This window comes from Homo sapiens, chromosome 2, assembly GCF_000001405.40.
Source record: "Homo sapiens chromosome 2, GRCh38.p14 Primary Assembly".
Classification (NCBI taxonomy): Eukaryota; Metazoa; Chordata; class Mammalia; order Primates; family Hominidae; genus Homo; species Homo sapiens.
The window spans coordinates 218,039,976-218,057,312 of NC_000002.12; the positions used below are offsets into that span (position 1 = coordinate 218,039,976).

The following is a 17,337-nucleotide window of genomic DNA, read 5'->3' on the forward strand; positions in this document are numbered from 1 at the left end:
GCCCCCAATTTGCTCCTAGAGAGGACTCCTTCTGAAGTCTCTGCTGTAAAGTCAAATCCTTCCCCCTTTATTCTTATCAGACAGTTGCAAGCTTTCACAGGTGATCTACCAGGGAATTTAGGAATAAACAAATGGAAATAAATTCAAGAAAAGGAAAAGAATAAAAGTGATCATCCATAGAGTGGAAAATTCAGATAATGGATCCTCAACCCCAGCTTCACACCTGGGACCCCCGCTTGGTCATATGGACCCTGGCAGTCTCTAATCACAAGTCTGTGATCCCTTGACTTAACTGTTCTTCTCCAGATGTAGACATGGTTGGGACTCAGAAGGGAGGTGTCGTCTGACTTGGTTTCCCTATTTCACCTTACTCATCAAGTGCCCTCTAACTGTTAAGTCACTCTGATCTCTGAGCTGTGGCTCCTACGGTTGGACACACCTGGCTGGGGCCTCAGGAAGGAAGCCACCTTTGCTTGCTAGGATTTTCTTTGGGGTAGGACAGCTTGGCTTGACTTTATTTTAGAAAACGTGTTCATTTCTGTGGGACCTGAGGATTTCTGATAAACTGGTTGCCCTCCTCCTGCCTTATGACCATGTACTAAACTCTGACTTCATACCTGGAGGCAGGTGAAGAGGAGGCCACAGCCTCTTCCTCCCCTCTTTTTATACCTTGCCCTTTTGTGGGAAGAGGCTGACAGTTTTCCAATTTGATGTTTATTGCTTTGCCCTAAGATTTTGTCTTTGGTGAAAATGCAAATACTGGTAGGGACGGAACATACTAAAATGTGTGTATCTGAGTGGACTTATCATAGATCCTCAGGTCTGGCAGCAAATAAAAGGTGGACGACTCTGTCCCTCGATTTGCAGATGAGAAGACTGAAATCTATAGGGGTACGAGACCCCACTCAAGGTCACGAGACTTATTAATGGTAGAATCAGGATAGAATGAGAACTAGATGCTGGATGTCCTTACTAGATGCTGGATGTCCTTACAACCAATCTGAATAGCTTTCCAAAGTCTTTCAGATGGTTCTCTAGAGATGGTTCTCTAGAGAACCATCTGAAAGGACGTTTACACTTCCTTTCTTTGTACAAGTTTTGTTTTCCCTGGAATTGATGATAGGATGTTCCATGTACTTATCATGACATCAGTCCCAATGTCTCCCTCAATACATTCACATTCATTGGATAATCTATTAATTTTTCTTTCTCAAAGACCTCTTTCTTGGAGCTCCTCATTGTCTTCTTCCAACCTGGACAGTGACTCTCCATGCCTACTCTTCCCCAAATTGCTTTGGCTATATTTCTAGATAAATTTTAGACACTGCTTATCAATTTCTGTATAATGTCTAACTAGGATTTGGATTTGGATTGTATAGAATCTGTAGATCAAGTTGGAGAAAATTGACATCTTAACAGTATTGCGTCTCCCAGTCCATGAGCATAGTATCTTTCTCCATATATTTAGGTCTGAGACATAATAAAATTTTAAAGAGTTTATTTGAGCAAACAACAGCTCATGAACTGGGCAGTTCCAAACCAGAAGCAGTTCAGGAGCTCCACTGAGGGAATGCAAGAGAGAGGCTTTTATAGGTTGGACACAGAAGTACAGCCAAAAAAAAAAAAAATGATTGGTTACAATTATACAGCTGCTTTATTTGGTCTATCCTGTTGGGAAGTCCCTATTATATAAGTTTGTTGGCTACTTCTGAATGATTGAGGTAAGTTTTGTTTTTCTTTAATATAGGCATTTACAAGAAATAGCTTAAGTTTCACTTATGTTTTCAAATCAAGCAAGCTTGAGGTAATTTGTAAGTCCTGCCTGGTTTTGTCTTCTCAGGGATTCCTGAGGCCTGATCTCAATTTTAATTTACTTTAACAATTTTCCCTTTTTGGTCATCCTTTCAGCAAGCTAAGAGTATGAGCAAGCAGTATAGCGTTATTCTCAGTTACTGCTACTGATGTAGTCACTGGAACAAAGAGTCCTGTAGATGCCATCATCATTAACAGCTACCCTGGGATGTAAAATCACATAGTCAGCACTATCCAAAATTGCATAGTCTTTGTAGGCTTGAGTAGTTGGGCTGTTGACTTATCCAAATTGTCTAATCCTTGATGGCAATCATTTGATGAGTGAGTGGCTGGTGGGAACCACCACATGAGAGACTACAACACACTTGGGATATAAAGGCAACGACAATCAGGAGAATAATATCCAAGGGCTGAAAAATTCCCTGGAGCAAAGTTTCCAGAATTTCATCAACTAAATAAATCAATAAAGGAGGTAGTGCCTGATTAAAAAGAAAACTTGTATTAGTTTCTTAAGATCTTTAATTTTGGGGCAACTATTTCTGATTTGTTAACATAGAAACACCATTTCTTACCAATATGAGCCTAAGTTTTTCTTGTTAAGTTACAAGCTTGAAGAGAACTCAGGGTATGTATCTATGAAAACAAAAGAAAAACAGAAGTTAATATTTCGAGCAAAGTATGGTCTTAGTTTTTTAGTCCAGAGGCTAGTTAGTTGAGATTTCTAGATTTGAGTTTAAAGCATCTTCAGAAGATGAAATGAGGATGGCAGCTGCAGTCTGATGGATTTACCTCATTTGTAGCTTGAATGTCTCTGGTTATGTTGTTGGGTGTTCTGGTAAACTCTCCAAGTGATCCCCATAGCAGCAAGCATGAAAGTTGTTCATACATGATCTGTTGTAGTGATTTTTCTGAAGTTAAATCATCCAGCTTCAGCTTGAAGGGCTCGGGAAAGGGGCAGTTTTAATTTTTAGTGAAACCAGGAAAAATCAAGACTCAATCCAGTTTATAGGGAGATAAAACTTCAAAAAAAAATGAACAGGACCAGAATTTGATAATGAGTGTGTTACAGTTTTCTACTGAAATACAATCTTTATTATAGTCACTCCTATTTTTACCAAAAATAATCACAATTATTTTGTTTCTACAAAATAAATCTAGTTTTGTGATTGGAGTGTTGCTTTTCTGGCTGGAAACCTCTGTGGCCAGTGGTGCCTTTGCCCAAGTTTTGGTCTTGCACCCAGGGAGAATGAGGTAGGCAGACAAGTGGAGGGTGAGCAAGATGAAGAGAAGGTTTATTGCATGTTAGAACAGCTCGGAGGAGACCTGCAGTAGGGTAGCTCCTCTCTGTAGGCAGGTTGTCTCATTGAGTCTTCAGCTCTCAGCAGAGAGGAGGCCCTGGAATGGGTGGCTCCTCTCTGTAGGCAAGTCATCCCAGTGAGTGTTCAGCTCTCAGGAGAGAGGGTAGGTCTTCTCTGCAGCTGGTCATTTGGTCATCTTCCACTCTCAGCAGTCAGGAGGCCCTGAAGAGGATAGCTCCTCTCTGCAGCTGGTCATCCAGTAGTCTGCAGCTCTCAACAGAAAGGAGGCCCTGGAGAAGGTAGCTCCTTTCTGCAGCTGTTCATCCCAACATCTGTTCTGCTCTCAGCAGAGAGGGTAGCTCTTCTCTGTAGCTGGTCATCCCAACATCTGTTCAGCTCTCAGCAGAGAGAGTAGGTCCTCTCTGCAGCTGGTCAACCCAACTTCTGCAGTTCTCAGCACAGATGAGGCCCCAGAGAGGGTAGCTCCTTTCTGCAACTGGTCATCCCCACATCTGCTCTTCTCTGGCTGAGTCTGGGGTATGCATTGTCTTCAGATGGGGGAAGTGCATGCTGATTGGTCCATCAGCAGCCACAGGTGGGCACAAGAAAAAGCACCACAAGCTCCACCTCTGGTCCACAGGACTGGCAGCCCAGCCCCCAGACTTTGAAGGTGGGGCTTCGCCAGGGACCCACCACCTTCCTCCCAGGAGCCTGTCTGCCTCCTGCCACCAATCATGGCATCCAGGCTGCTCAGACGAAGGGGCACCTGCAGGCCAGTGCTGATCTGCCCTCAGCCCCATCTCGGCTTCCCTCCCATGCTTGTCAGTGCCCAAAGTCCAGAAGGGGGCTGAGGAGGCAGGGGGCTGGTGTCCCAGTACTGCTCTGAGTGTGCACCCACCCAGCAGGGCTATGACAGTGCCCAGGTTCACATGCAACCTTACTCCATGATCGGAGTGGGCACCGGGAGTGGGGAGAGACCAGGCAGCAGGAGCAGGCCCTTCTGAGCCTGCAAGGGTCAGGGAGGCCTTCTGGGGCCTCCAAAGCACAGAGATGCCAGGATCTACAGCTAGGCTTGGGCAGCTGCTGTGGCACCCAGGGGTGGGGCTCCTGCCTGCTCCATGGAGCAGAAGGCCCAGGCTGCACCTCCTCACTGCAGCCAGTGTTTTGGCAGTGGCCAGATGAGCCACTGCTGCCATCAGTTTCATGAAACTTGACCTGAATATGTATGTAAATGCAAGAATAATAAATCTATATATGCTATAAAATATGATACTATCCAAGGTGCTTTATTGTCTTTGTATCAGTCAATCTTAGTTAGCTGTAATGAGAAATCTCAGATCACATTTTTTTTATGTTAACTTTTATTTTAAGTTCAGGGTACATGTGCAGGTTTGTTATATAGGTAAACTTGTGTCATGGGGGTTTGTTGTACAGATTATTTTGTCACCCAGATATTAAGCCTAGTACCCATTAGTTATTTTTCCTGATCCTTTTTCTTTCTCCTCCCACCCTCCATCCTCTGATAAACCCCCCAGTGTGTGTTGTTCCTCTCTGTGTGTCCATGTGTTCTCATCTTTTAGCTCCCACTTATAAGTGAGAACACCAATATTTAGGTTTCTGTTCCTGCATTAGTTTGCTAAGGATAATAGCCTCCAGATATCCATTTTCCTGCAGAGGACATGATCTCATTCTTTTTTATGGCTGCATAGTATTCCATGGTGTATATGTACCACATTTTCTTCATCCAGTCTACCATTGATGGGAATTTAGGTTGATTCTATGTCTTTGCTATTGTGAATAGTGCTGCAATGAACATATGTGTAGCTGTGTCTTTATAATGGAAGGATTTCTATTCCTTTGTGTGTATACCCAGTAATGGAATTGCTGGGTAGAATTGTATTTGTGTTTTTCGGTCTTTGAGGAATTACCACACTGTCTGTCTTCCACATTGGTTGAACTAATTTACACTCCCACTAACAGTGTATAAGTGTTCCTTTTTCTCCCCAACCTGGCCAGCATCTGTTGTTTTTTGACTTTTTAATAGTAGCCATTCTGACTGGTGCCAAGTGGTATCTTATTTTTTGTGGTTTTGGTTTGCATTTCTCTAATGATCATTGATGTTGAGCTTTTTTCATATGATATTTGACTGCATGAGAAATCTCAGATTAGACTTTTTAAAACTTCTCTAGACAAGAAGTCAAGCAAAGAACTTGCCCATTTATGTCCTATTACAAGCAGAGTATATTTTTATTGAACCAGTGCAAATACCCATATTGCATATAAGAATATTTAAGAAGAGTTTCCAAATCCTGGAACCATCAGGTAGGAAGAAAAAGATAAATGTTCCCTTTCTATTTACAAAGTACATTTTATCAAATTAATGTAAGTTATTGACAGCTCATAAAAAAGAAAAAAAATTTCCCTAAATCTAGAAAACAATACATTAAAAAAACCAACGTTTTAACAAAAAGTAATAAAATGAATAATCATTCTCATCAGTTAATTTAGCCTCATCTAATTAACTCTTTTGTTTTGTTTGATATTTTGTTAATAGTTTCATGAAACTATCAGTTTTCTCTTAGAGTTTTGGAACTTCTTACCCAGTCCAATAGCATAATCTTAGTTATCAGACACCTGTACTTACCAGTCTTTTTTCTCCTTCTTTTTTAAAAATTGGCAAATATGTACATAATAATGATACATATTTATGGGGTACATAGTGATTTTTTTTTTTTTTGAGGCGGAGTCTCGCTCTGTTGCCCAGGCTGGAGTGCAGTGGCGCAATCTCGGCTCACTGCAAGCTCCGCCTCCGGGGTTCGCGCCATTCTCCTGCCTCAGCCTCCCGAGTAGCTGGGACTACAGGCTCCCGCCATGGCGCCCGGCTAATTTTTTTTGTATTTTTAGTAGAGACAGGGTTTCATCGTGTTAGCCAGATGTTCTAGATCTCCTGACCTCGTGATCCGCCCGCCTCGGCCTCCCAAAGTGCTGGGATTACAGGCGTGAGCCACCGAGCCCAGCCCATAGTGATGTTTTGATGTATATAATGTATAGTGATCAGATCAGGGTAATTAGCACATCCATCATCTCAAGTATTTGTCATTTGCTTGTGTTGGGAATATTCAATATCCTCTCTTCTAGCTATTTGTAAATATATACTATTGTTAACTATAGTCATTGGACAGTGCTAGAGACACTAGAATTTATTCCTCCTGTCTAATTGTGTATCCTGTAATTGTATAGGGAGAGTGTAGTCTCTCACTACTCCCCCTGCCACCTGCCCTTCCCAGCCTCTAGTAACCTCTCTTCTACTTTTCACTTCTATGAGTTCAACTTTTTTTAGCTTCCACATACGCGTGAGACAGTGCAGTGCTTAACTTTCGGTTCCTGTCTTATTTCACTTAATGTAACGTTCTCCAGTTCCATCCATGTTGCTGAAGCAATCATTTTCTATGAATATCTTGCAATGCTGTGTCATAGCTGCTTTCAAAATCTTTCAGGAAGAAAATTTGGTTAGTCTTAAAAATACAGCATTATAAGACAATCATTAGTTTTATAACTGATAACATTATACCAGGAAATATGAGACGTCTAGGAATTTTATACAATTTCTAGAACACTCATCAATGACAAATATAACTTAGAGAAAGTTCAGCATCACTTATTATTTGGCAGTGCCTCTCATGCAATTTAACACATCAAATAAGTCTAATTAGTTTAACTTCCCTCTTGTTACAAGGAGATAAAATTAATTCTTTTGACATATTTCAGGGACCCTTCTGGAAACTCTCAATGTTAATTTGAGGTCCAAAAGACTTGATTTAGAATGTGATTTTGGGGAGCTGTCAAAAATGTCAAAAGGTTTAAAACACTTGATTAAATAGGTACACAGGTCACTGTGAAACAATACCAAAGTGACAATGATTTCAAAGGCAAACACAAAAAGTTTCATTGTGGTTAAAAAAAAAAAAAAAAAAAGTTTAGCTCTTTTAGTATTGAAAAGATTACACTTTTCTTCAATAATAAAAGGCTTTTAAAAAGACAACATGAAGTACAAAAAGTTACCTTGATTAAACACAAAATCTGTGTTTCTAGGCCAATTATTTAACAGATAAGGAAAAAAAACCTTTCACATTCACAGGGAGACCAATACTCCAAGAAAATGTGTCCTTTTAACAGAGAGAAAACCTAATTCTAACTTTGCACCAGTACATCACCGAGTTTTTTTAACTTACAAGTAAAATCTATCTAATGTTTGTACTATGACCACAAATAAAGTTCTTCTTTCATAGACCTTCTGCAACTTTCTGTATCTATTCATTTTTTTTTGTCTTAGTCTTTTTCTCCTTTTTTATTCCGGATCAATAAGTCATCTTGCTTTAAGACAAAATTACTCTCTTTTTCTCTTAAGGAAAACACGTACATTTTATACTTTTCCTTATTAAAAATACATCTCACTTTTAAAATACATTTTTCACATACATATTTGTGTACAGTTGTTTTCATTCATCCTTTGTTTTTAGTAGTTTTAATTACATGTATTAATTAAAATTCTTTACCCTTAGTAGCCTTAATATCTAGCGAAAATTAGGATGTACGTGGTTTCATTGGCCTAAATCCTATTTCCCCATAGCACAGGATATGCTTACCAGTGCACCCAATTATCTCTAGTTCCTCTTTAATAACGAGCCTAAAGTACATAAGCTTAAACTTACGTTTATTTAGTGATTAATAATTTTAGTAGTTTATCTCATACGGAAATGATCTAGATACTTAATTTATATGTATATTTTCATATTTAATTTTAATCTATAAGTCTATCCTATTGGAAAGTTCCCAGTTATAAATTTTAAGTCTTCTGGCTACTTCTGATGGGTTGAACTTATAAGTTCTGTTTTTCTATAGTATGAGCATTTATATTTATTTCTGCTTTCAGGTCTTCAAGGGATTGCCACACTGTCTTCCACACTGGTTGAACTAATTTACACTCCCAGTAACAGCGTATAAGCGTTCCTTTTTCTCTGCAACCTTGCCAGCATCTTTTATTTTTTGTCTTTTTTGGTCTAAAGTGGTATTTCACTGTGGTTTTGATTTGAATTTCTCTAATGATCAGTGATATTGAGCTTTTTTTACACGATTGCTGACCACATGTATGTCTCCTTTTGAAAAGTGTTCATGTCCTTTGCCCACTTTTTAGTGGGGTTGCTTTTTCTTGTAAATTTGTTTAAGTTTTTTATAGATGCTGGATATTAGACCTTCGTCAGATGCATAGTTTGCAAAAATCTTCTCCCATCCTGCAGGTTGTCTGTTCACCCTGTTGATAGTTTCATTTGCTGTGCAGAAACTCTTTAGTTTAATTAGATCCCATTTGTCAATTTTTGCTTTTGTTGCCGTTGCTTTTTGTGTTTTCATCATGAAATCTTTGCTCATTCCTATACCCAGAATGGTATTTCCTAGGTTGTTTTCCAGGGTTTTTATAGTGTTTCTTATGTTTCTGAAGATATTATGGTTTTTGTAAAGATTTATTTGATTCCCTTTATTGTCTCTCTTTATTTTTGGTCTAATAAACTCAGTTACCACTTATCCATCTACTTCTGATTTCTATTTTTTTAATCGGTTATCTTTTCTTCACTTTCTCTTAATCCTTGTACCTTGTAGGATTATGCCTTTTAAAAAAAATCCCTTTAGTGTCATTTTTAGTGGATTTTTGAGAGGAAACAGAGGTAAACATGTTCATTAAATTCTCCATTCTTAATATAAAACGCCTCTGGATTTTTAAAACATGCTTATTTTAAAAATCACATTCAGATTGCTCTGTTATCTCTAGTCCTCAGTTGTTAAATCTCCCATGGGTTAAGTTGGCTGATTGTTGATTCTGGTGGTTGTTAGTTCTTTGTAATATTTAATCATGAATTTATCTTTCGAAGAGCATATTTTCATGTAATCTTGCATTTGCCCTTGATTACAAAGAAATCTACATGGGGGAAGTTTCATGGCTGTACTGGCTGGGGCACTACTGGGTCATATGGTTCACAGCATTTTTTGTTGTTGCTAAATTTCTTGGCCCTGAGTTTCCACACCATTCCAAATGGCAGGTTTGGGACCTCATCATCTGATACTCAGGCTTGGGATTCTAGAATGTTCCTCAAATGACCTTCTTTTTCCCATGGCCTGGGGCAGGCAGCTCACTTGTGGATCATGTCCAGAGTTGGCAGGTGTTTTTGCCTGGGAAAGTCTCTATGTCTCCTTCATCTTTGAAGGATAATTTTGCTGAATATGATATTTGAGGTTGAAAGTTTTTCCTTCAGCACTTTGAATATATCATCTCACTCTCCTGGCCAGTAGAGTTTCCACTAAGAAGTCTGCTGCCAGATGTATTGGAGCCCCTTCATATTTAATTGACTTCTTTTTTTCTTGCTGTTTTAGGTCTTTTTTTTTTTTTAGATGGAGTTTCACTCTTGTTGCCCAGGCTGGAGTGCAATGGCATGAACTCAGCTCACCGCAGCCTCTGCCTCCCAGGTTCAGGCAATTCTCCTGCCTCAGCCTCCCAAGTAGCTGGGATTACAGGCATGCGCCACCACAGCTGGCTAATTTTTTGTATTTTTAGTAGTGACGGGGTTTCTCCCTGTTGGTCAGGCTGGTCTTGAACTCCTGACCTCAGGTGATCCACCCGCCTCAGCCTCCCAAAGTGCTGAGATTACAGGCGTGAGCCACCGTGCCCAGCTAGGTCCTTTCTTTATCTTTGACCTTCTTTATCTTTGAGTTTGATGAATAGATGCCTTGAGATAATCTTATTTGAATTGAATCTGCTTGTGATAGTGACAGGAGACAGACAAATTCCTAGTCAGACAGGGATGGGTCCCTGGTGAAACCTGACCTTCAAATCAAGGACAGTTTAAAGCCTGAAAACCCAGCTGCTAGTTCTAGATAGAGTCCATGACTGGAGTGAGAACTTCTATCCTCATCTCACCCACTCTCTCTTGATTGGCTACTTCTGGATGATGTCTTTTAACCAATCAAAGGTGTTTTTTCCAAAGCCACCCATGGACCAGTCAGCAAGTATTCCTCCATTTTTAGCCCATAAAAATCCCAGACTCAGCCTCACAGATGGCTACCCCACTTTCAGTGTCCGCTCCTGCAGCTGAGAGCTTTTCTTCTGTCACTCAATAAAATTCTTCTCCGCCTTACTCACTCTCCAGTGTCCACATATCTTATTCCTCTTGATCACAGGACAAGAACCCGGAACTCACCAAGCTACAGTAGGCAGGAGTGAAGGAGCTGTGATGCTCCTGGCTGGCTTGATGAGCTACAGATTACAGGGGTGAAAGAGCTGTAACCCTCCCTTCCACTTGCCGAACTGCAGGAGCAAAAGAGCTGTGACACTCCTGGCTAGCTCACCAAACTGTGGGAGGTGGGAATAAGAGCTATAACCCTCCCTCCAGCTCACAGAACTGCAAGAGTGAAAGAAGCCACTGAGTGCCACTCCCTCCTACTCGCCAAACTACAAAATCCACAGCATTTCATGTTCTATGACCTTCTTATAGCTGGATATTCACATCTTTCTCTGTATTACCACACATTTTTTTTGGCCTGGGTTTGGTAGCCAGACAGTGTTATATTTGTCTCTGCTAGATGTTTTAAGATCATAAAAGTATGAGTTTGACCTAAGAACAAATGTACAGATGAGAGTACATGCAATGACCATTGTTTTCTGTATATCAAACACAATTTAACCTTTAGTGATTTTCTTTGACAGGAAAAAGACTTAAAATAATGACCTGCTCTAATATCTCAGTTTTCAAGAGTAATCTAGGTAAAATTATTGTAAATAAAAAACAAGGTATATATAAATGGAATAAACATTTATACATAAAGTTTTCATGTAATTTAAAATCTTGAAGTTATGTTAAAGTAAGTGATAGATATTTTTAAAATATCTAGGTAAGTTCTTTTCATTTTTTAAATTAATTTTTGTGGAGATGAAGTCTTATGATATTGCCCAGTCTGGTCTCAGACTGCTAGGCCCAAGCAATCTTCCCACCTCAGCCTCCCAAAGTGCAGGATCACAGTCCTGAGCCATTTCTAAATAAGATAAAATGCTGAAACATTAATTGTTAAACATAGCTTTAAGCTTATTTATTTTTGACTTCTTAAATATTATAAAAACACAAAAGATATTTGGGTCTATTAAGAAAACGTCCTATACCACATTAGAAATTGTTCTGTAAAAATATGTTTTTAAGTACTATAAAACATATATTCAGGGGATGTTTATATATAACAGTTCAGAAAAGTACTTATTCCTGGGTTTTTACTAAAAATTAAGGTTTCTAAAATTAAAGTTCTAATCAATATATTTAATTCTGTATACAAAATATACAAAAGCTAATTTTTGCAAGAGAAAAAATATTAAGTGGTTTCCATAATAATGGGAAAAAGAGAACGTTCTTGTCCTAAGATAAAATGACTGGCTGTTCCAATATTTTAAAAAAAAAAAAAAAAAAAACACAGAAAAGTGTAGGGCAGTAATGAGACTTTAAGAAAATAATGGAAGACCTAAGCAAGTTGGGGAGGGTTTATGAAGGATGGTTTTGTAAAGGGAGTTTTGTGTGTGATTAGGTTGCCTGGATTTAAAAACATGTTTCTAAGTTTTCTAAAAATTAAACACTGACATCAGGGGTACCATGGCACAGGGCTGGAGACTGGTCTTCTATGTTTGAAACAGAAAGGTTTTCTTAAAATATTGATCTGCTTTTAGTAAACAACAACAACAACAAAAACTACAGGAGGTTTGGGGTTTAATTCTGAATTCTGTTGAATTTTCAATCATCTTCTAAACTACACCTTTTTTCTATTTTAAATTTTCTACATAATTTCAACTTAGAAGTGCTGTCTTCCTCATTTAAATTGATAATTTCCTTTCTCAAGGTAGAGTTTTCCTCTTAAAGCTTTTCAGATTCATGTCTCAGGGGTTTGGCATTTTCACATCTCACTACATGTGACTTACAGGTCATACGTCACTGCCTCCTGCTCTTCTTCCTTGAAAAGATACATCTTTTTGCTTTACTAAAGTGGTGACTGTCCCCTTCAACATTTGTCAGTTCCTGTAGCTTTTTCTTTTTTTATTTCAGACTCTACTCTTGTGGCCTGACCCAGAATGTTTGTCTTAAAGGCCTAGGAGGACAACGTGTCCTCCAGTGTAAGTCGACTCTGTACTCAGCTCTTCCTGATGTGTCTAAATTGTTCTATGTAACCAGACAATTTCACGTGCTATTACTTTTTCTAAAAACCATGCATTCCGTTGCCCAAGGTATTGGTTTTCTTGTTTACCTTTTTCTCCTATAATATGGTGTACACTCCTAACCTTGGACATACTCTTACCGTGTCTAATTACCTTTGTATGAGGTTTGCCTTCCAGGTTATCCAAATAGGCTTCCCATAAAGACAAGCAGTTATACTGCAGGAGGCTTTTCTTTATCTTTTAAGTAATTTGCCTAAGAAACAGAGATTTCAAGTTTTAGGATAGTTTCTTGCCAGACACAGTATTGAGCACCTGTAGTTCCAGCTACTCAGGAGGCTAAGACAGGAGAGTTGCTTGAGTCTGGGAGTTCAAGACCAGCCTGGGCATCATAGCAAGACCTCTATCTCACTTTTTTTTTTTTTAAAAAAAAAAGATAACGTCTTGTGTTTTGTGCTGTTAATATTAATAAACTAATATTGGGTTTTTTGAAAGTCATCCCTAAGGCAGGTCTAAGGTTTTTTTTTTCTCTCAGCTATGTAACATTTTATATTTACTCTTAAAGTATTTTTATTATCCTTCTGATTCAATAAATGACTGTTATTTCAAAATGACATTTGATTCCACTTATTATTATTATAGTTATTATTATTTCATAAACATAAGGCTCACCCTGTCACCCAGGCTCAAGTGCAATCGCATGATCACAGCTCAGTGCAGCCTTAAACTCCTGGGCTCAAGGAATCCTCCTACCTCAGCCTCCTAGGTAGCTGGGATAACAGGTGCAAGACACAGTGCCTGGCTCGTGATTCTATTTTAATTAAATGTTTTAAGCCTTTTAACATCTTTGACAAACTTCCCTAAAATAGAATTCTAACTTAAGTCTTTTTAACCTAACATCGACTTTGGGATTTTCCAGTTGGGCCCCTGGAAAGTCTCAAAGGATGAGGCTTATTTAATATGAGGCTTATTTAATATGTTTAATTGTATGAAAAGCACTGTCAAATAACGAAATGATATTAAACCTTTTTTTTTTTTTTTTTGAAACAGGGTCTCACTTTGTCACTCAGGCTGGAGTTCTGTGCCATGAACATGGCTCACTGAAGCCTCAACCTCCCAGGCTAAAGCAATCCTCCTACCTCAGCTTCCCAGGTAGCTCAGACTACAGGCATGCGCCACCACACCTGGCTAATTTTTTTTTTATTTTGAAACGGAGTCTTGCTCTGTCGCCCAGGCTGGAGTGCAGTGGCGAGATCTCGGCTCACTGCAAGCTCCGCCTCCCGGATTCATCCCATTCTCCTGCCTCAGCCTCCCGGGTAACTGGGACTACAGGCGTCTGCCACCGCGCCCGGCTAATTTTTTTGTATTTTTTGTAGAGATGGGGTTTCACCGTGGTCTTGATCTCCTGACTTCGTGATCCGCCCGCCTCGGCCTCCCAAAGTGCTGGGATTACAGGCGTGAGCCACCGCGCCCAGCCGCACCCGGCTAATTTTTGTAATTTTTTTGTGCAGACTGGGTTTTGCCACATTGTCCAGGCTGGTCTCCAACTCCTGAGCTCAAGAAATCCACCTGCCTTGGCCTCCCAAAGTGCTGGAATGACAAGCCTGAGACACCGCACCTGGCCTAAACATCTTTTAAGTTATATTCATGTGGATGTTACTGACAGAAATCTTCATCGTCTAAAGATTATATGAAATTTATAAAAGTCTGATGGTCCTGGTGTGATGCTGTCAGTCATGATTCTCATTTTTGTCTTAAAATGCTGTTTGCAATACAAATGACAGAATTCCTTTTCAAAAGTTGAACTTTCATCAGATTTCAAGCATGGCTATTCTAAGTTTTTATCATCTACTGTGTTGATTCTTCTCTAAAGGCATCTGCAATCAGATTCATAAGACTCTTACAAGTACTCTTAAATACAGGCTTTTAATTACTTTAAGATCATGGACTAGGGTCGGGCATGATGGCTCATGTCTGTAGTTCCAACACTTTGGGAGGTCGAGGCGGGAAGATCACTTGAGGTCAGGTGCTCGAGACCAGCCTGGCCAACATAGCAAAACCCCAACTCTACTGAAAATACAAAAATTAGCCAGTTGTGGTGGCGTGCACCTTTAATCCCAGCTACTCAGGAGGCTGAAGCACAAGAATTGTTTGAACCCAGGAAGTGGAGGTTGCAGTGAGCCAAGATCACACAACTGCCCTCCAGCCTGGGCGACAGAGTGAGACTCTGTCTCAAAAAAAAAAAAAAAAAAGATCAGTGGACTAAATAAATAACATTTCTAAAACTCTAACGAGAAGAACTGATAGGTTTATAAAACTGCTAATCAAAATCAAGCAGAATAAAAATTGATTACATGAAATTGAATAACTGATACAAATTATGATTTTTATATCATTTGAAATATTGTTAGTTCTTTACTTAAATGTCTTGTTTTCCAGATTTAAGAAAAGTTTCTCTCTTAAGCTATCTGTAGTTTAACAACAATTTGGTGAGGCAAATTTTCATGAACAAAGGTGAAAACATTTGCTTATTCTTCCTACTTGATCCTTCTAAAATTTGGAAATTATCTGTGAGTACTTTTTATTTTATGACAATATAGTTATTCACATAAGTTCAATAAAATTCTGTTTCTTTATAGGAAGATGCAATTTAAAATGTTAATTATATTATCAGGGTTAGATGAAGTTATCATATTTTAACCTATTTCCGGGTACTGCAGTTAAAATCAGAAGCCTGCCTTAATTTGGCTTCCTAGTCTCAAAATTAAAAAAATAATAAGAAGAAGATACAAGGCGAAGCACATTGGCTCATGCCTGTAATCCCATCACTTTGGGAGGCTGAGGCAGGCAGATCACCTGAACTCAGGAGTTCGAGATCAGCCTGAGAAACATGATGAAACCCCATCTCTACTAAAAATACAAGAATTAGCCAGGCGTCATGGCAGGCACCTGTAGTCCCAGCTACACGGGAGGCTGAGACAGGAGAATTGCTTGAGCCCAGGAAGTGGAGGTTGCAGTGAGCCAAGATCGTGCCACTGCACTCCAGCCTGGGCAACAGGGTGAGACCCTGTCTCAAAAAAAAAAAAAAAATACAATCTAAGATGCAATCACTGTTTTTACTACACTTACATAAATAATCAGGCCAAACCTGATAAAACTAAATTTGGTGTTACTCTGATTATCTTCAGTAAAAATTGGGATGTCTAGAATACACTCGTTATTGCTTTTGTATTGTAGTCCAGTGCATTGTTTTTGATTTTTTATTATCTGTCTGTAGAATGGACTGTATCTTAAATTCTTCTGGTTTCCTCTGATCCAATTTTCCCCCATGGAATTACTAAGCAGGAAATTACTCTTTCCTAAAGCCCTAAACTAAAACTAAACAACTTAATATACATTTCAAGGAGCAAGACTCATGCCTGATGTATGGGTCCACCCAGAATGTTCACCAACCATCCCCGCCACAGTGCCATCATCAGAGATATTTGAACTACAAAACTGGCAACTTCATGCTTAGGCAGCTTTTCCCAAGACCGTCAAAATACAACTCCATATGGTAATACGACTCCTACCCCTCTCATTGACTACCTTTCCACTTCACAGGATAATGCTATCATTAAAATTTCACAAATTAGATACTGCTATAGGTAACTTGACAGAATCTGACCTAAAAAAATCCTTCAGTCCACCTGGAGAGCATCTTCGGCAATATCCCAGCACGAATTTTTGTTCAAATTGTCCCTTTTCTAGAGGTGACACTCTCTGCTTTAATTCAGCTCACTCACGGAATGCTACACAATGGCTGCAACAGGTCTCAATTTGATTTGCCTAGTTGGTTGCCTTGAGGCTTGGGCTTTTGGTTCAAAACCATTGTACAAATTGGATTTATTATATTGTTGCTGGTTGTTGTTTTTTTTTTTTTTTTGTATTCTGCTCTGTAAGCTCTGCTTTTATTGCCTGTCTAATCTTTGCAAAGCCAGTTCTCCCAACAGGATAATGTTAGCCCCACACTTCAAGATGATTGCTGATGCCTGCCAGAATAATCAGATAGAACTTGATGCTAAACTCCAGGCAACTCTGCCCTGAGAGAGCTTTTTTCCCCCACTTCTGGTCTCTCTTGCCCAAATGTGGCCCGGGTCCCTGACACTGACTCTTGTACTTTCCCCTCAATGTAAGACCACAGGGATGGGCTCATCCTGGCATGAAGGACAATAAAGCCTAACTTCAAGATGGTTACCCAGTGATGCTTTCAGACAATGATCTTGATCAACAGGTGGAAATATGAAAATTGATTACATAAATTACAGTTATCTTGTCACATACAACTAAATTAGAGTTGAGTGTCCAGAGGAGAAAGAAGCATTCAGTGCACAAAGGGCCTGACCAGGGATTACATCACAGTTCAGCTGCCAAAATGACCTGCTGTAACCTTAAGACCAGTTTTACCAAGTAGCTGCTGTGATTTCAAGACTAGTTTTATCCAGGCCAGGTGCGGTGGATCACACCTGTAATCCCAGCATTTTGGGAGGCCGAGGCAGGTGGATCACTTGAGGTCGGGAGTTTGAGACAAACCTGGTCAACATGGTGAAACCCCGTCTCTACTAAAAATTAGCCAGGCATGGTGGCTTGCGCCTGTAGTCCCCAGCTACTTGGGAGGCTGAGGCAGGCGAATCTCTTGAACCCGGGAGGCCGAGGTTGCAGTGAGCCAAGATTGTGCCACTGCACTCCAGCCTGGGCAACAGAGTGAGACTCTATCTCAAAAAAAAAAAAAAAAGAGAGAGAGAAGACTAGTTTTACCCAGCGCTGTCCTATCTATCAGAGCTTGTCAACTCCCAAAAACCTTTGCTTAATGCCAGTGAGTTTTCTTTCAAAACAATACTTAACATTTCTCTTTCTAATAAAACCTGCAACTTTCTCTTTGTTGCAAAGACCACCCCAGTCTGTGTACACACCCTGAATTGTAATTCTGTCTTGCCACATAAAAGGTTTTGT

The 17,337-nt window shown here is 39.5% G+C and overlaps 1 protein-coding gene across 1 annotated transcript in view, besides 2 other annotated features; it reads left to right on the top strand.

The window, feature by feature from the left end:
• Nucleotides 1-17,337, top strand: part of RUFY4 (RUN and FYVE domain containing 4) — a 55,719-nt gene that overhangs the window by 5,042 nt on the left and 33,340 nt on the right. The window lies entirely within an intron of this gene.
• Nucleotides 1,657-1,916: an enhancer, noted in NCBI's record as "active region_17114". NCBI's record gives its function as "activates an Ori minimal core promoter by ATAC-STARR-seq in GM12878 lymphoblastoid cells {active_cell/tissue: GM12878}" and the evidence as "EXISTENCE:reporter gene assay evidence [ECO:0000049][PMID:35858748]".
• Nucleotides 5,523-6,024: an enhancer, noted in NCBI's record as "H3K4me1 hESC enhancer chr2:218910221-218910722 (GRCh37/hg19 assembly coordinates)". NCBI's record gives its function as "activates a minimal SCP1, AML or CMV promoter by ChIP-STARR-seq in primed H9 embryonic stem cells {active_cell/tissue: H9 hESC(primed)}" and the evidence as "EXISTENCE:reporter gene assay evidence [ECO:0000049][PMID:30033119]".